The 19,670-nt window shown below is 38.7% G+C and overlaps 2 protein-coding genes and 1 pseudogene across 5 annotated transcripts in view, besides 3 other annotated features; 1 reads left to right on the top strand and 2 right to left on the bottom strand.

Annotated features, from left to right (window-relative positions):
• Positions 1–5,150, bottom strand: part of INVS (inversin) — a 202,933-nt gene extending 197,783 nt beyond the window's left edge. For all 4 annotated transcript variants that reach the window (NR_134606.2, NM_001318381.2, NM_001318382.2 and 1 more), the window contains exon 1: positions 4,977–5,150. The gene's annotated coding sequence lies outside the window, so the exon portion shown is untranslated. The remainder of the gene's footprint in view (positions 1–4,976) is intronic.
• RN7SL75P (RNA, 7SL, cytoplasmic 75, pseudogene) lies at positions 1,554–1,834 on the bottom strand (annotated as a pseudogene).
• Positions 4,877–5,086: a silencer, noted in NCBI's record as "silent region_20132". NCBI's record gives its function as "represses an Ori minimal core promoter by ATAC-STARR-seq in GM12878 lymphoblastoid cells {active_cell/tissue: GM12878}" and the evidence as "EXISTENCE:reporter gene assay evidence [ECO:0000049][PMID:35858748]".
• Positions 5,327–5,466: an enhancer, noted in NCBI's record as "active region_28721". NCBI's record gives its function as "activates an Ori minimal core promoter by ATAC-STARR-seq in GM12878 lymphoblastoid cells {active_cell/tissue: GM12878}" and the evidence as "EXISTENCE:reporter gene assay evidence [ECO:0000049][PMID:35858748]".
• ERP44 (endoplasmic reticulum protein 44) overlaps positions 5,393–19,670 on the top strand; it is a 119,816-nt gene continuing 105,538 nt past the window's right edge. The window contains exon 1 of the mRNA NM_015051.3: positions 5,393–5,609. Coding sequence (NP_055866.1) covers positions 5,553–5,609 — 57 coding nt within the window. The 5' untranslated portion in view covers positions 5,393–5,552. The remainder of the gene's footprint in view (positions 5,610–19,670) is intronic.
• Positions 5,477–5,546: an enhancer, noted in NCBI's record as "active region_28720". NCBI's record gives its function as "activates an Ori minimal core promoter by ATAC-STARR-seq in GM12878 lymphoblastoid cells {active_cell/tissue: GM12878}" and the evidence as "EXISTENCE:reporter gene assay evidence [ECO:0000049][PMID:35858748]".

Here is a 19,670-nt window from a genome sequence, read left to right as displayed (position 1 = left end):
GACTAGGATTAGAAAAATCTATAGTCCTGGCTGGGTGCAGTGGTACATATCTGTAATACTAGCAGTTTGGAAGGCCAACGCAGGAGGATTGCTTGAGGCCAGAAGTTTGAGAGCAGCCTGGGCAAGATAGTGAGGCTGTCTATCTTAGTGAGACCTGTCTCAAAAGAAAAAAAGCTATAGTCCTAGTCCTGGAATTGGCATTAGGTGGCAAATTAGGTGACTTTTGTACAAGTTGCTCATCTGCTCATCTGTAAAATGAGAGGGTAGGTGCTTCTAGGACTCTTCTTAGGGACTATCTGAGGAAAAAACAAAGACAATATTTAACATTAGGCACAGGGCTCAGGGTTACAGTGACACAAGCAATATGATGCCACATAATCTAAGTTAATACAAGTAATATGATGCCACATAATATTAAACATTAGAATTGATATTGCAAATAAAAGTGAGCCCGATCCACAAAAAGAGTATAACATAAACTCAATTGTGAAGTCAGAATTAGCTGGATTTAAGCACTAAATAAACTTAAAAAAATTAATTAGGGCTGGGCATGGTGACTCATGCCTGTAATCCCAGCACTTTGTGAGGCCAAGACAGGAGAATTTCTTGAGCCCAGGAGTTTGAGACCAGCCTGGGCAATATAGCGAGAGCTCATTTCTACAAATCCCATCCCCTCCCCTCCCTTCCCCTCGCCTCCCCTCCCCTCCCCTCGCCTCTCCTTTCCTCCCCTCCTCTCCCCCTGCTTTCCTCCCTTCTTGTCTTTTCGAGACAGGGTCTTGCTCTGTCACCCAGGCTAGAGTGCAGTGGTGCGATGTCAGCTCATTGCAGCCTCTGCCTCCAGGGCTCAAGCAAGTCTCCTGCCTCAGCCTCCTCAGTAGCTGGGATTATAGGCACCTGCCATCACGACCGGCTAAGTTTTGTATTTTTTAGTAGCGACGGGGTTTCACCATGTTGGCCAGGCTGGTCTCGAACTCCTGATCTCAAGTGATCTGCCCACCTTGGCATCCCAAAGTGCTGGGATTACAGGCATAAGCCACCATGCCCTGCCTACCAAAAGTTTTTAAAAATTAGCTGAGCATGGTGGCATGCACTGTAATCCTAGCTACTCGGGAGGCTGAGGTGGAAGTTTCACTTGAACCTGAGAAACAGGGTTTGCAGTGAGCTGAGATCACACCATTGCATGCCAGACTGGGCAACAGGTTGAGACCCTGACTCAGAAAAAAATAAAAAAATTAGTTAAGGCCGGGTGTGATGGCTCACGCCTGTAATCCCAGCACTTTGGGAGGGCAAGGCGGGCAGATCACCTGAGGTCAGGAGTTCGAGACCAGCGTGGCCAACATGGCGAAACTGTGTCTCTACTAAAAATACAAAAATTAGCTGGGCGTGGTGGCGCGTGCCCATAATCCCAACTATGCAGGAGGCTGAGGCAGGAGAATTGCTTGAACCTGGGAGGTGGAGGTTGCAGTGAGCTGAGATCGCACCACTGCACTCCAGCCTGGGCAACAGAGTAAGACTCCATCTGAAAAAAAAATTAGTTAAAAAACTATTTTTAAAGAGATGGGATCTTGCTATGTTACCTAGGCTGGAGGGCAGTGGCTATTCATAGGTGCAATCCCACTACGATCAGCATAGGAGTTTTGACGTGGACCAGTTCATTCCTTCTTAGGCAGCCTGGTGGTCTTCTACTCCTGGGAGATCACCATATTGATGCCAAACTTAAAGTGGACACCTGAATGGCATAGCGCACTACAGCCTGAAACTCCTGAGTTAAGCGATCCTCCCTCCTCAGCCACCTGAATAGCTGGGACTTCAGGCATGTGCCATCACACCTGGCTAAATACTAAATTAAAAGGTATCTAGGTCTTGCCGTCATTCTCACAAAAAGTGAAATTTTTATTTGTTCTCTCCTTGGTCCACCAGGAAAATATACCTAGATAGAGGTCTTAACCATAAGATCTTACTTGGAACATCGTATCACTAAAATGAACCATATTTCAATAAGGACAATTTTGTTCTGACCGGTAGTCTCATGGAGCTTGTAAGAACCTTTTAAAAACATATGACAGGAGTTTGAGAGACCAGCCTGACCAATATGGTGAAACCCCGTCCCTACTAAAAACACAAAAATTAGCTGGGCTGTGGTGGCACACACCTGTAATCCTAGCTACTCAGGAGGCTGAGGTGGGAGAATTGCTTGAATTTGGGAGGTGGATGGAGGTTGCAGTGAGCCAAGATCATGCCACTGCACTCCAGCCTGGGCACAGAGGGAGACCCTGTCTCAAAAAAAATAAAATAAAATAAAAAATAAGTATCAGCCGCATAGGAAGATAGTGAGATCCCTATCACAAGAGTGTTTAAGAAAGCAGAGGCTGGAGAAATGCAGCAACAATTCAAACACCTGATGGGAAGGAAAGATGAATAGTTGCATCAGTGATCTTAAACATCCTTCCTAAACCCTTAAGCTGCTTTATCAAAGTTCCAAAGCTGAATGCCTACAAGGACCAGAGAGGTAACAACTGTTAGAAACGTAGGGAGTCACAGAATCACGGTAAACTCAAGCATATGTACTTATCTAAAGGGAGCAGCTGTTAATCAGCTCCAGTTAATTGCTGCCATGAGGGTAGGCAAGTCCTTTTCTGATTTCACCAAAAAGCAGGTCACGCCAATCGCTGTTACTCCTGGGGATCTGAGAGTTTTCTAAGATAAATTTATAACGGATGAGCTGGTATTTGTCTTGTCATCGACAAGGATTATTGGTTCAAATTCTGCCCTTGAGAGAACATATTAATACTTTCTTAATTATGGTAAAGCACAGCTCCTTACGTCTTTATTTTGCTGACAATTTGAGTTAAGGACTGGCAGAAAATATGGAGGAAGAGGGTGTTGTGAGACACTTCAGTCATGTCTGAGTCTAACAGTCATGTCAGAAGAACTACTGTCATATCCAGGATTATATTAAGGTTATTTGAGAGAAGCTACAAAATAGAGGTGGAGGTGAAAACATGGGAGGGGAGTAACTGCACTTGGGTTCTAGGCCCAGTTGTATTTATAATCAGCAGTGTGTCCTCAGGCTATGTCAGCTTTCTAGGTTTCTGTAAAATGCAAAAAATAATAAGGTTAGACCATGTTCACATTCGTTCATTCAACAAGCTGAGTGACAACTATGTGCTAGGCACTGTTCTAAACTCTAAGACCTGTCATTTTTCATTCTAAGTGATCAGAGTTTTAGGCACATCAGAACCACAAAAAAAGTTCTTTATACCCTTTGAAAAATACACTAAAAATGTGATCTCTGTTTTATATATATGTGTGTGTGTGTATATATTATACATATATAAATTATATATACACATATATAATATATATAATATATATACATATAATATATATATTATATATACATATATATTATATATATAATATATATTATATATATAATATATATGTATATATATTATATATATTATATATATACATATAATATATATACATATATAATATATATTATATATACATATATAATATATATATTATATATACATATATTATATATATATTATATATACATATATTATATATATTATATATACATATATTATATATATAATATATATTATATATACATATATTATATATATTATATGTACATATAATATATATATTATATGTACATATAATATATATATTATATGTACATATATAATATATATATTATATGTACATATATAATATATATATTATATATACATATATAATATATATATTATATATACATATATTATATATATTATATGTACATATATTATATATATTATATATATATACTTTTTACTTCATAATTCTTAGCACTTAGCACAGTAACAGGTATATAGCCAGTACTCAGTAGATGTTTGTTGGATGAAAGGTCACAGGCTGAGTGCTAAGTCCAAAAAGTGAGCAGGATCAAAGTTTAATTTCTTGAATAATGAGTTCATACTTACAAGTCTCTGCTCTTTTAAAATTTCCCATTTCAACTATCTTTGGGCTCTGTCAGGGGCGTGGACAAGAGATAGGAGCACTAGTCTAGGAGTTAGGCCGCCTTGGTAAGAGTATTGGCTCTATCACTGTCTAATTTTGTCACCCTGAGAAAGCCATTATGCAGGGCTCTTTTTTTTTCTTAAGAAAAAATGTATTTTTTGCCCCTTTAAGAAAATAAATCATTTTTTATAGAAAAAAGTCAAAACCACTTTGATAAAGTGCTATAAAATGCAAAGGTGTCATCATCCTTGCCTAATTATACAACAAGCCCGTGTAATAAATGCTCTAATAATTATAACCGTACAAAACTAGAGGTACTGCAGTCACACTCATAGGAAGAGTAATTCTGATTAGGACTAAAGGGTTGGTTGTTCGGGAAGTTCTCAGAGATGGTGACATTTAAGATAGCATTCCAGAGAGAGAACGGGTAAGGCCATTCCAGGCAGCAGGAAAGCTGAAGCAAAGGCGGGAGCAGGGAGAACCACAAAAGCACAGTGTGCCTCCTGGGTACTAAGCAGAGATCGCGTGGGCTCCTGGACCTCACTGAGTGTTTGCAGAAGAAGCCGCAGAGCTACCTGGGGCCAAGTTAGGATCCTCGACTGCTTTGCTAGGGAATTTCGTAATTATACTGGAGGAGCGATCCACGCCTTAGCAGCAATCACTCACACAGTTTTCCAGTTTACGACGTGCTATCCCATCCCGTACCACATCTACTCCTTACAGGAGCCCTCAGAGACAATCAGGGATAAGTCATTGACTCATTCAACTGAGGCCCCGAGTGGTGGCTCTGACTTTATAATGCAGGAATTAGAGCAGAAAGAAGAGGCAGCGGGCGAGGAGGCCAATGATGGAGGCTCAGGCCACAGCCTAGGCCAGGAAGGCCGTGAGTCTGCAGCAGGGGCCAAGGCGGTGCGGACCGAATGATCTGAGCCTCCCCAGCCAGGCCCCCTCCTACTCACCCTCGCCTCCTCCAGGACTGACGTCCCGGGGGCGGCTCCAGGAGGCGCAACCCGGACCGGGCCGCCCCTCCTGCCGGGCCGGTACACTATATCCAGCCAGGTCAGACCCCACGGCGCTGAAGCTAGCCGAGCCCCTCAAAAGGCCGCCCGAGGCTTTCGGCCGCACATCCTTCTGGGAATTGTAGTTCCCATCCTCTGAAGCACCGCGTACACCCGCCCTCCGCCCTTCTATCCCACAGGACCCCGCGCGCAGAGGACTCAGTGGACCGGGGCCGAGAGCCCAATGGGAAAGGAAGTTCTAGATGACGGACGACGTGCGGGGTGAGGCTAGTGCAGGACTACATTTCCCGAAGTGCACCGAGGTGGGCAGGACCCGGAAGTGAGGGTGTGAGAGGCCTCTCTGGAAGTTGTCCCGGGTGTTCGCCGCTGGAGCCCGGGTCGAGAGGACGAGGTGCCGCTGCCTGGAGAATCCTCCGCTGCCGTCGGCTCCCGGAGCCCAGCCCTTTCCTAACCCAACCCAACCTAGCCCAGTCCCAGCCGCCAGCGCCTGTCCCTGTCACGGACCCCAGCGTTACCATGCATCCTGCCGTCTTCCTATCCTTACCCGACCTCAGATGCTCCCTTCTGCTCCTGGTGAGTGAGGGAATGACAGACCCATCGACAAACGCACGAACGGCCTCCGGCCCTCGCCCAGGGGGAACACTGCTACTCCTGCCCCTGCTTTTCCGTCTTTTCCTGCAGTGTTTTGGAGTGCACCCTCCCCCGCTGCCCTCACTCTCGCCTGTCGGCTTCCAGGCGCGGAGTCCCCGAGGCCTGAGAAACCAGTGTCGGGGGAGAATGGGAGAATTAGCCCTGAGGGACTGATACGTAGTCACGGCGTAGGAGCTTCCCCTTCTCCCCGAAGTCCGGGGGTTTCGGTTTCGAGGGCTAGTGGACCTGGTGGTAGCTTGAATCGGAAAAGACCAAGCATAGACCTAGCGTTCCTTCCCACCCTCTCCATTTGGGAAGAGTGTGAGGTCGACAGGTGCTGGGGTTGTGTGACTCTCACTGGGTCTAGATCCCTGAAGCGGTGCCCGGGTTGGCAGATCCCTCTGTTGTGGCTTGATGCGATTGGTTGGGAACCCGGAACTGGAGACTGGTTTGGATTCCACTGGGAGAATAGAGTTTGAAGGGTGGAAGGTGTGGTTACCTGACAATCTCAGCTCAAGGCCTCCCTCAAATCTTATTGCAACGTATTTCCCCATGGAAGCAGATTTCTTCTTCATTGCGCCTTATTTGAATATGCATTCATTCCTAACTGCCTAACCTGCTCAGCATCATCCCATCTTAAAAGAATCTTTCCCTAGTCCCTCTTGCCCCAGAGTACGTCTTGAGTGTGCAGACTAATTGATCCAGGCTTCAGGTCAAATTGAGACAAAAGCGAAGGACTAAACACGTATGGCAAAATGGCTTATATTTAATTGGGCTGTTAATTATAATGTAATATTTGAAAGTACCTTAATTGTAGTAGATTTTTAGAAATTCAGATTTAAACATTAAGAACTACTTTCTTTACAATTTAAGAAACGATTTAGTGACGCATATGAAGTCACACAGCTAGTTACAGGCAGAGCTGGGATTAGAAACAAGTCTCTTGACTTCCAGTGCTTATTCCGCCATATCCCATTAAATGTTTAATATTTGTGTTTGAAATAGTTCTTTCTTTTCTTTTGTCACTTGGACCTTTTCGGAAAAAGCACTGTAAAAAACTAAATGGCATGTCAAAGTACTTTTGAGAACAAAAAGTTGTGTATAAACATTGTAATATTAAATGATAGAGTGTCTTATTGCCACTTCTTATAAGTATACAACAGTGAATGACTTCTGTATCGAGGAAAATATTCTGTATAGTGTTGTTTCTTGGTGATTTCATTATACACTGTGATACATTTTTCCTTCTAGAAGTGTTAGAATAATACCATTATTAGAGACCACTCTCTCCTTAAGAAGACTGGATACTAATCTTATCCACAAAATGGCTTGAGTTATGAATTGTGTGCACTTTTAGGAAATCAAAAAAAAAGGGCAAAAATCTTAAGATATTGTAAAGAAAAGTTGAGACACTGAACAGGCAAACTATATCAGATGCACTTTCCTCAAATGGTATGGTTTGGTTGTAAAGCTAAGTTATGAAGAAGAAATAATTTATTTTGGAATAACTCATGCTTTTTATAGAAAAACCTAATCTTGTTAAATATGAGTTTTTTCCCAAATAGAATCTAGATTTAACTAAAATCTAAGCATTTTGTATAATTATCTTTCTAAGCAAATGTAAAGGCATAAAAATCTGGAAAATATGTTAGAGAATACCTGTAGATATGAAAAGGCTGAAAAAGCCCCAGAAAAGGTTTAAACTAGAATTACAAGTCAAACTAGATTTAATTGGAATACAGTGTTTACCTAGTTTTAATACTCATATGCTAGTTAGCAAATATTTATAAAACATCTATCCTGTCTAATCGCAACTTTGAGTTGCTTACTTAACTGGTAATTCTCTCCTACTGATGGAACCTACTTACTCAGTATTCTCGCTGTCTAATAATTTGTCCTCTTTGTTCCCCCGTGTACTTTTTTCCTACTCTTCCAACTTTCTCTCTCAGACCTCAAGTTTATTCCTTCTTACATACAGATAAAGAAAAGCCAAGTTCCCATTTAGCTGAGGTCATCATTTTTTCCTTAAATGGCCTCCTCTAAAAAGCTGTATATTCTCTTACTATGATAATTTTCTTCAGGCACTTTGTACCTCAACCCTAAAGAACTAGACCTGTTCAAATTTAGTGGTGTTCATATAAGATAACAGTTGAAACATAATCCCAAACTTCTGGAGGCAAGTAGCTATCTTTTCCCTGATCTCAAAGCATTTTGGAATATATCACTCTGCCACAAAGCCTTTCTGGATGGGTAACTAAACACAAAAGCTCAATGTGATAACTTTTTTTCCTGAGCTTTTATATGTATATATATCTTTTATATATATATTTATTTGCGTCTATATAGATTTTTATTTACATATATTTAGATAGATAGATTTAATTAGCCCTTTTCTGCTTATCTTCCTATCTAAGGTGGGTTTATTCAGGGTTTTCCGCTGGGAAAATGATCAGTAAGGGGGATAGAAATCTTGCCTGTTTTTCCTGCACTGGTTGTGTACAAGTTTTGAAAAGGCGAGATAAGAGAAATAAGACTAAATTGGAAAGAAGTTGTCTCATGCACCCTAGGTAACCTCTTCTGTAGTTCAGATTTGTAGCACTGCAGTCCATTTGTTTTATTGAAGATGTGTTCTCATTAATCTCTTGATAAGTATGTTTATAGATCATAATTGTTACTAGTCGTAATTGTCCCGCATGTGAACACTTAAGGGTTTTGCCATTGTTGTTCTCGGTTTGTTCAATATGTATAGGTAGTCAAGAAAAGTTTGCTTAGTTTAGGTAGCTATGTAAATTTGAGAGCTAAGTAAACATTTATTTAATCGTTACAAGTACCTTAAAAATAAGCACAGTAGAATTCAGAGATGTCAGTTTTATCCTTTAATGTTAATAATATATGTAGATTCCAGTCTTCAGGAAGAGTACTTTTGGAGGCATGCAGTTTGATTAATACCTAGGTGAGGTTTTATTTATTTTGTTGATTTAACTTACCCTAGATCAATAGTTTACAAAGCCTGGCTGCTCATTAGAATCATCTGTGGCAGTTTTAATAAAATGATATCGGGGCCCAATACCAGGTCAGTTATATCTGTGAGCCCCAGAAATTAGTTTTAAAAAAAAATTTCCCAGGTGACATACTAAAGTATGTCCCTCTAAAAGGTAAGAATTAAACAAAACCACAATACCATTATCACATCTGGAAAAATTGACAGAAATTCCTTCATATCATCAAATATCTGGTCAGTGTTTGGGTTTTCCTGATTGTTTCCCTTTTTTTAAAAAAAAATAAACAGCATTGTTCAAAGCAAGGGCTATATAAAGTCCATCTATTCCAATTGGTTCATATGTCACTTATAAAACTTTTTAAATCCCTAGGTTCTCTCTCCATCTCATCATTTTCCTTATAATTTGTTTAGGAAACTGATCCTCTGTCCTGTAGCATTTGCCACATTCTGGATATTGCTGATTGCATCCTTGTGGGGTTTTATGTTTCTCTGTTCCTTGTGTTTCCTGTACATTTGTAATTCAATTTATGTGGTCCTAACCACCAGCTGCATATATATTGTTAGGTTCATTTGTTTCATTTATCTTTCAATTTTTAGTTTTTAAAAATTTACCTTTTATTTTATAATTATATAAAATCTCTTCCAAAACTAAATCTGTAAAGCTAACTATATTTGGATAAGTCTAATTTGTTTGTCTCTTTTACTGTCTTATCTCCCTCTTAATAAAATAGCACTTTTTTTTTTTTTTTTTCTTGAGGCAGAGTCTAGCTCTGTCACCCAGGCTAGAGTGCAGAGGAGTGATCACAGCTCACTGCAGCCTCAACCTCTGAGGCTGAAGCAATCCTTTCACCTCAGCCTCCTGAATAGCTGGGACTCTGGGACTACAGGTGTGTGCTACCACACCTGGCTAATTTTTTTTAATTTTTGTAGAGACAAGGGTCTCACTATATTACCCAGGCTGGTCTTGAACTCCTGGCTCAACTGATCTGCCTGCCTTCCAAAGTGTTAGGATTATAGGAATGAGCCACTGTGGCAGACCTAGGAAAATTTTTTTTTAATTTTTTTTTTGAGTTGGAGTCTCACTGTGTTGCCCAGGCTGCAGTGCAGTGGCACCATCTTGACTCATTGCAACCTCTGTCTCCTGGGTTCAAGTGATTCTCCTGCCTCAGCCTCCCCATTAGCTGGGATTACAGGCGCTTGCCACTGTGCCTGGCTAATTTTTATATTTTTAGTAGAGATGGGGTTTCACCATGTTGGCCAGGCTGGTCTCAAACTCCTGACCTGAGGTGATCTGCCCGCCTTGGCCTCCCAAAGTGCTGGGATTACAGGCATGAGCCACCACGCCCGGCCTGGAATACTTTTTTAAAAACTTTTTCAATTTTATGTCCCTTTCTTCCTTTTTTTTTTTTAAAGGTACAAGCTATTTGTATTTATTTTGGCATATATTTGTTTCTCCCTCCACTTGGATTAAATTGTAGCTTATTAGTCACACTTTTCCCCCACCTTTTTTTTAACTTAAAATTTTATTCTAGAGATGCGGATAGAAATTTTGCCTATTTCTTTTTAACTGCTTATGCTTCACTGGATAGATACCAGTTCACTGTTGTTACCATTCTTTTGCTGTTACAGATAGCTCTGCAAACAATAGCTTGTGCTTACGTAATTTTGATAGTGTATCTTTGAGATAGATTTCTGTACTTGCAGTTGCTAGGGCAAAAGGTAAATGTATATGTAGCTTTGTAGGTATTGCTGTATATTTGAAATTACTCTCCGTATAGGGGTTGTGCCATTTTATGACCTCACCAACAATGTAATAGTTTCCCTGTAGCCTTGATTAAAAAGGTATAATGTCAAATTATTGGGTATTTGTCAGTCTGATGGGTGAGAAATGGTATCTCAATGTATTTTAATTTGCCTGTCTTTAATATGAGTGTGATCAAGCTTCTTAGGTGTAAAAGTCATTTGCATTTCTTTTTGTGTGAACTGTCTTCCTGTCTAGCCTGGTTTTCTGTAGAATTGTTGGTCTTCTATTTCTAGACTATATAGACACAGACACACACAGTTCTTTTTTTTTCCCCCCCCACAGACAGGGTCTTGCTGTGTAGCCCAGGCTGGAGTGCAGTGGCCTGATCTTGGCTCACTGTAGCCTCAACCTCCCAGGTCACGTGATGCTCCCACCTTAGCCTCCCAAGTAGCTGGGACTACAGGCACAAGCCACCACACCCAGCTAATTTTTGTATTTTTAGTAGAGATAGGCTTTTGCCATGTTGCCCAGGCTGGTCTCGAACTCCTGGGCTCAAGCGATCCACCCGCTTTGGCCTCCCAAAGTTCTGGTATTATAGGCCTGAGCCACTGTGCCCAGCCCACACAGAGTTCTTAACCCTTTATATCCTTAGTTGATTCTGTGATGATGCTCACAGGGTTGAGAAGCACTGGAATATACAGCCATATGTGAATTCAGTCATATGTCTGATAGGTTAAAATTTGTAAAAACCCTTGGAGATGTTTAATTGCTTACAGTTATTGAAAACTTTTTCTAAACTGTATACTGTGATTTTTAATAGCATTATAGAAGCTCAACCTTTAAATGCACTGTAGCTTACTTCATTATTTGTTAAGACATTTTGGTTACTGGTTATTTCAAGTTTTTCACAGTTATAAAAAATGTACAAAAGGTATGCATACAATGATGTTCTCTGCAAATGTTCAGATACATTCTCAGGTTACTTTTCTAGAATTATATTTTTTGGGTTATATGGTGTGTCTTATATTTAGAATTTCTGATATGTTGTACTAAATTGCCCTACTGAAAATTTGTACCAATGTGTATTCCTAACAGTGTGTGACTATGCCCACTTCCTCACACTCTCATCAGTAGTGAGTGTTTTTGTAATCTGTGCCAATTTACTAGACCAAAAATGGTATCACAATTTAAATTTACATTTCTTTGATTACAACCAAAGTTGAATTTTTTTCATATTTATTGATAATTTGTTTTCTTGTGTGCATGTTTGTATTATGGGTTCTTGTTATGTGTCTTCTTTTCAAAAAATGGCTTACTCTTCTTCCAGTAATTCAGAATGAATGTACTCACAAGATAGAGTTTATGAACAGTGGAAGGTATTATTCTTTTGCCTCTTCATTAGTCTCCATTCAAAAGGCAGTGTAATGCAAAAGTAGATGTCATGGCATCTATGTAAGTTCCGACTCTTCCATTTACTTAACCATCATAACCTTGGTTAAATTACTTGTTTTTCTTGTCTATAACGTAAGCACATGGATTTGATGATTCAATGATTCTTTGTGTAGTCTATCTTATTTTCAAGATAGACTACAAAAGGGTATTCCTTTAGCTCCTACTGATTATAGACTTATTATTTGATTGGGTAGTTCCTTTAAAAATCTGCTAGCTTGTCAGCATGTTGCACATGTGTATGGGGCATGCTTAGCATGCTTTTGTCACAGCTTATCTGATATTGACTCTTGCTGTACTCTATTTCTTCTAACCAAGAAGATTAAAAACAGTTTGAGTTTTTGCAACATTTATTGATTTTTAGCCTAACTTTGATTCCATAGAGAGGAACTCATCTATGGCCCAGGCTGCAGAAACTTAATCTGTATCTTTGTTATTATTTTTCTTTTCTGCCTATCATTTGAAAGTCTATTTGCAATCTACTATGGAGGAGAAAAAGATCATTGAGATGCATATCATGCCTTCAAGAAATTAGTAATTCAGATGAGGAGAGAAGATATATATATAAATAATTAGACTACCAAAAGGAAAGTAATGGATGCCAAAGGTGTTTGTAGAAGTGGGTTATAGATCCTGCTACTCAGAAGTGTGATTGTGAGCCCAGGCATCAGCATCATATGAGACCTTTTAGATCACCTCACCTCAGACCTACTGAATCAGAACCTGCACTTTAAGAACTTATACCCAGATGATTCATATGCACATAAAAGTTCGAGAAATACTGCCATGGATGTTTGGAAGAAACAAATTATTTCTCAGTGGAGGAATCAGAGTAGTCTTGGAAAAAGATGAATTTGAATATTGCCTTGAATAGTTAAATGGATCAACTTATTTTCAGTCCTGAATGGAATGAAGAAAAAGGGCAGTGCCTCTCAATAACATAGTAAATCTTTTCTATCAATTGAATACTTGTTTTTTATTGTTTTATTTTTAAGAAATCTTGTTGTCTGGTTGGCTGACGTGGCCAAATGTCAGAATTGGCCCTAAAGAAGCTGGCAAACCCTTTGGCCAACTTCATTAAAACAGTTTGTTATCAACTTAGCAAAAATAAAAATCATGATCTTTAGTGGGTTCTAACTAGCCTTCAGATTAGTCCATTCAAGAGGGGAGAGGAATAAAATGCCACTTTGGAGAAGTCCCTTCTGTAATGCTGTGGGTCTTGGTTCTGTCCTTGCAAAGACTGAAATCGAATTCTAACTGCTTTGGGAATCCTTGGTGATATTGTGGTCACCACATTCATCTCTGCAATTCCTACAAACCTGAGATTTCATCATTATGTAGAACTTTGAGCATTATATTGGACTCTAATTTTAAGTCACCTGAATTTGTAGACACGAACATTGCTAATATAGTAGAGAAAAGCAACAAAAAAGCAGAAGAAACCCATCTCAGAAAAACATTGTAGTAGTATTTGAGCTAAAGAAAACCATAGGCTGAATAGTAGAATACCAGTACTTTTTCCATTTCTTCCTTATTATAGTCTAGTAGTGGGACCTTTGGTGAATGGATTTAAGAAATTTTAGAAAAAGGTTGTTAGGTCATGTTTGACATCCTTCTGGGAAAAATAAATTTTTAAAAATAAAAAAGAGGTCATTAGGAATATAGATTATGAATGCATCTACAAAATAAAATGTTAGAGTTAAAATTTCTTGTCCTATAGACAGTACGCACTCATATTTACAAGCCTGCTCTTTAGCTGTTTTGTTGTATATTTTTTTTTTTTTGAAACAGAGTCTCACTCCGTTGCCCAGGCTGGAATGCAATGGCGTGATCTCGGCTCACTGCAGCCTCCACCTCCTGGGTTCTAGTGATTCTCCTGCCTCAGCCTCCCAGGTAGCTGGGATTACAGGTGCCTGCCACCATGCCCGGCTAATTTTTGTGTTTTTAGTAGAGACGGGGTTTCACCATGTTGGCCAGACTGGTCTCAAACTCCTGACCTCAGGTGATCCACCTACCTCAGCCTCCCAAAGTGTTAGGATTACAGCCGTGAGCCACTGTGCCAGGCCTGTTTTGTTGTATTTGAAGTTTTAAATAATGTAGGGGGAAATGCCAGCTTTTAAAAATTACCAACACATCATTGAAGTCTATCTCTTTGCTTATAGAACAGCTGCAAGTGTAAGATAATGTATTGTCATTTGGCGTTACCTTGAGAGAAGAAACCTGCACATCCTCAGTTCCTTTGACTTATTACTGGAGTTCTGGCCCAAGTACAGTAAAATGTCAGCTAGCCAGTGATAAGCTTACACTTCTGTAATGATTTTACCTCTGAAAGGGCTGAGAATAAAGAATAGCTACTTTTTTTTTCTTTTTTTGCTAGTCAAAATAATTTCTTAGAAAACAGCTACTCAAATGGACTCATTCCTCAAACTTTCTAAATAGCAGGAATTTTTACTGTAGGAGTGGATATTATTTCCTCACAGGAAGTCTTGTAGTGTGCTAACAACAAAAGTATTACAATGTTGTAAAATACTTAGTTCTTTGTTAGTTTAACCTTTGAATGAAATGAACAGTTTCAGAGACCCTAATTTTGCTTTAGAGTTACAGTAGTCCCCTCTTATCCACAGGAGGTAATGTTCCAAGATGCTCAGTGTCTGCCTGAAATTGTGGATTATACCGAACCCTATATATACTATGTTTTTTCTTATACATACATACCTATGATAAAGTTTCCTTTATAAATTAGGCACAGTAAGAGATCAACAATAGTAACTAATAATAAAATATACTGTTCACAGTTTCTTTATAGAAGATTTATTCTTAATCTAGATCTTAGCCACCTCAGCGTATGATTTATTTTCTTTCCATTTAAAGTCAAGAGCTTTCATCTTTTCACTTAAGGAAGCGCTTTATGGCTTCTCTTTGGCATATCTTTTTTTTTTTTTTTTTTTTTTTGAGATGGAGTCTCACTCTGTCACCCAGGCTGGAGTGCGGTGGCGTGATATTGGTTCACTGCAACCTCTGCCTCCTGGGTTCAAGCGATTCTTCTGCCTCAGCCTCCTGAGTAGCTGGGATTACAGGCACTCGCCACTACACCCAGCTAATTTTTGTATTTTTAGTAGATTTGGGGTTTTGCCATGCTGGCTTGGCTGGTCTCGAACTCCTGACCTAAGGTGATCCGCCTGCCTTGGCCCTCCAAAGTGCTGGGATTAACAGGCATGAGCCACCACGCCTGGCCTCTCTTTGGCATATCTTAATTGCCAGCATCACTACTCTTGTGCTTTGGAGCCATTATTAAGTAAAGTATGGGTTTTTGAACACAAGTATTGTGATTCCAGTACCACTACAGTTGATAAGGGGCGGGTTATGTCTGCAGTGGGAATATGCTGGACAAAAGGATGATTCACATCCCACCTAATTTGAAGCAAGATGGTATGAGACTTCATCACACTACTTAGAACTGCATGCAATTTAAAACTTATAAAGTGTTTATTTCTGGAATTTTCCATTTAATGTTTTCAGATCATGGTTGGATAAAGGGGACTAATGTAAAGACTGTGCTACATTTTTAAAGCATGTATCTTATTTGTTTCAGAAATCATCCAGTTTGTTTATTTGTACCTGTACTCTGGTTTTAGGATATCTTCTGGAATATTCGAAGTATTTCTTTCCCTTAATGATCGCTTGAATATATATAGACTAAAGAGAAAACTTTTAGAAGAATATTTAGTTTAGGGATCAGGGATTTGGGCCCAAATCTTGGATCTGCTACTCACCACCCTTCTTTCTTCTTAACATCTCTATTTTCCTATTAACTTCTGAGGAATAATACTGGTATTATGTCTGACTCCTAAGTGGTGGTGTTATTCCATGCTACTATTATGATTTTATGAAACAAAAAGTGGTGAAAGGTATCCCCTTTTCTCATTCTTAGATCTCAGTTTGTTGTACAATGCCTTATTATAGAGTAAATGCTTAATAACAATTTAAGTACTGTGGAAAAAGAAAAGGTAGGGCTTACGTGAGAAGGATCAGGAGTGTATTAGGGGAGTTGTAGTTTGTAAGCATCACGGGACAGGTGAGCCTTGAAGCAAGTGAGGGAGTTAGTCATTTGGATTTCCTGGAAGAAGAGCCTTCCAGGCAGGGCCGTTAGTCAGTGCAAAGCCCCTAATGTGGGAGTGTCCCAGGCATATTCAAGAAATAGCAAGGAGAGCAGCGTGATTGTCATATAGTGAATAAGATACAGCATATTAGAAGATGAAGTCATTTAGTTAAAACATATTTTGCAAAAGTGTACTTGCCCTTACTATGTATGTTGTTTACTGATAATTGTTTTTCTTTTTCTATTCTGTGCTTTATTTTATTTTTTAAAAATTGCTGATCTGACTCAGTAGGGAAGAACTTCCTAACTGGGTGGCTGATATTATTGATCTCTTCAGCCTTGCCCCATTTGCCTCTGTTGGGAGTAGCCTTTGTTGTTTTGATTCTCTGTTACAGGAGGGGTCCCAACTTGCAGTGTGAAAAATACTGTTGTAGTAACTTAAAATGTTAAACCAAAAGATTTCCTGACGTGTTTTTTGATTCCCGAAAGTGATAACACTTTCATGGTACAGAAAAGCATAATGAAGAAAAAAATGCGTACACTAACCACTGATAACATTTTAGTGTATTTCCTTTCGGTTTTATTCTGTGCATATGCGTATGGATTTTTAATAGTAATGTGTATATTTTGAACAATATAAGATTGGGCTCTTTTTGTTTAATCCTGATGTAGAGTGGTAGACTTCTGGTTCATAGAAATATAGAAAGAAAAGATACCACATGCTTAGATGTATTCTACCACTTGGAAATAACTCCTAGCTTGACCATGTAACTTCAAAAAGTTATTTAACCTTTCTGAGTTTCCATTTTCTCACATATCAGATAGAGATAAAGACCTCTCCTGCTTAGTTCTGGGGCAGCTAATGAGACTGAATGTGTCTGTAGTGCATTATAAGAAACTAAACTCTCCTGGTTTTTGCCACATAATAGGTGTTCAATAAATGTTAAGATGAGGGACTGAGTGAATGAATGAATGACTAAATAGATACCCTTTTTTTGAAACTTTCAAGTTGTCTGTCCAATGGTATTAAAATTGTGTGCACTGATGTAATGAGTTCACTTGACCAGCTTCCGGCCTTTGTGGTCTGTGGTCTTCTTATCCTAATAATTACATTGTCATTATGCCAACAAAAACAGCTTAAAAATGTGACTGTTAAGTGAATAAGTTATCAGCTTAGCTCTGTTTTATAACTGTATTTTAATTAGTGTTATACATAAATTTGTTATATTATTTTGAAAAAAGCTTATGGAGGGAGTTGTGTTTTGTCGTATAGTCCATTGGTTTTAGAATTAAAGGAGATTAGGGTTTGAATTCTGTTCTGCCATTAATTTGGACACGTCACTTAGCTTATTTGAATCTTATTCATTTAATAAATATTCTCCCTTTTACTGTATGCCAGAGACTGCAAAGTTTTTTTTTTTATTTATAAAATAGGGATAATGTAATTCCTACTTCACGTTCAGAGTTGCTATGATGATTTAAAGAGATAATATACATGTTTGTAAACTGTTGATAGAAGATACTGTTAGATTAAAATATTTGTGGATGCTTCAAACATGTGTTTGTTGTGTGGATTCTTTCCCCAGAAGGCTAGGTGTGCAATGTATTTCCCTTTCAGGGAGAGTTGATCAATTATGGAAGTAGTTCTATGGTCTGGATTTCTGGGGTAACTGAGAGTACTAGAAGGTAGAGTGACTTTGAAGCTGGAAAGACCTGCTTCATTCCTAGCTCCCTCTCTTTTTAGCTGTTGTGATAGTAGGCAAATTTCTTTATCTTTTTGAATATCAGTTTTTCTAAAAGTGGGAATAATAATTCTGCAAGATTGTGAGATTGAGATATAATGTATGTAAAGGACATTGTATGATGTCTGGCATGTAGGAGATACTTGTTTGTAAAGTAATAGTAGAGAAGGAAATGTTGTTAAGTGAATGGAGTCGTTGTGAAATGGAGAAAGCACCTTAGAAAAGGATAGTGCTTGTGCTGACCATCCTTCTGTGATTGTTATCTTTTGACTCTCTGAAATGAGTAAATGGGTGAGGCTTTTAATTTTAAAAGTCAAGTCTAGATATTAGTGGTTTCTTAAAGTATTTGTTAACTTGTCTCTTTCCTTTGGTAAGTTATGACATAGCCTTATCAAAATAGTGACAACTATAATTATGATTGATAGAAATAAAAATCTAACTTGATATGCATTTCAGCTTTTAATACAAAAGCAAATAAATTCCTGTAAGTGGTATAAATGAAAGTGAGGAAACATGCGTTATGCCCTGCTGTTTGAAAGGTATCATTTGCACTACATAGAAAAACATCGTTTCTATTACCTTGAACATTCAAAATCATTCAAAAAAGATTATCTCTGACTGTTGTAATTGACTAGGTATATGGAAAATGATGACAAATCTTTAGAAAAATATAATCTTTCTCTAGTTGAATTTAGTAAGGAAAGAGTAGATTATACTGCAGATTTCTCATTACTGAAAATATGAAAAAATAAAAATTCCGTTTAAGTGTGGAAGATTTTTTGTTTTGTTTTTGAGACAGAGTTTCGCTCTTGTTGCCCAGGCTAGAGTGCAATGGCATGATCTTGGCTCACTGCAACTTCTGCCTCCCAGGTTCAAGCAGTTCTCCTACCTCAGCCTCCCAAGTAGCTGAGATTACAGGCATGCGCCACCATGTCCAGCTAATTTTGTATTTTTAGTAGAGACGAGGTTTCACCATGTTGGCCAGGCTGGTCTCGAACTCCTGATCTCAGGTGATCCACCTGCCTCGGCCTCCCAAAGTGCTGGGATTACAGGCGTGAGCCACTGCACCCAGCCAGTGTGGAAGATTTCAAATTGGTAGTTATGCAGTTTCATTTGCTCCTGTAACCTTAACTTACGTACACCATAGTTATCATAGTTCTGTGGTCTGGAATATTGCTTCCATGGGGGTATAGTTTTTTTACACAAAAGCATATGTAGTATTTACTACTTTTAGTAAGTTTTGGCCCTTAAGCTAAATCTGTTTATAGACTTGATGAAACTGGGGATTTAACAAATCTATTTAAGTTTAGATACTGTAATGAAGGTATTTGGTGAGAACCTGTTGGCAGATAAGATTGATTATGATGGATATTTTAATTTGAGATAAAGAAAAGTTCATTATATGGTCTTGCTTTTCTGATCTCATTAATAGTTACACATATACCTACCATTGGAAAGATGGAGAGTTGGTTAAAAGAGGAGGGTAAATTGTATTTTCCATTCTACAACGATAAGTAAAATTATAAAGACTTCCTTGATACACACTAGTTATTGTCTTGAATAAAAAAGTGTTTTAAAATATATAATAACCGAGCCCTCAGTAAATTTTAATAGCTTTTAATTCTGAGAAGTATCCAATATCCTGTAGCAAAATAATCAGAGGGTTCTGTTTTTCTTCTTCATTTGTACCATGAGGCAAGATAAACCACCTGGCTAGTATGACTGAATTAGTTAATTGTGGTAAGGCTGTTGTGTTTGTTGCCTTAGCTTTTTGTGGTTGATGCCTTTCTTAGCTTACTTTATTTGGGGAATACCCCTTTCTACAGTAGTATCTAGTGTCTCTGGATTATCTTTAGCTCTTACTTCTAATGCAAAACGGATTGTGGTATTTAAGGAAATAAGCAGGGAGCTTTATCCATAGTTCCGTATGATACGATTTTCGGAGAGTCTGTCACTTATTTTTGAATAT

The sequence above is a fragment of the Homo sapiens genome, chromosome 9, assembly GCF_000001405.40.
Source record: "Homo sapiens chromosome 9, GRCh38.p14 Primary Assembly".
In the NCBI taxonomy this organism is placed as follows: domain Eukaryota; kingdom Metazoa; phylum Chordata; class Mammalia; order Primates; family Hominidae; genus Homo; species Homo sapiens.
Note: the sequence above shows the minus strand (reverse complement) of the source record. Positions and strands in the feature narration are given on the sequence as shown.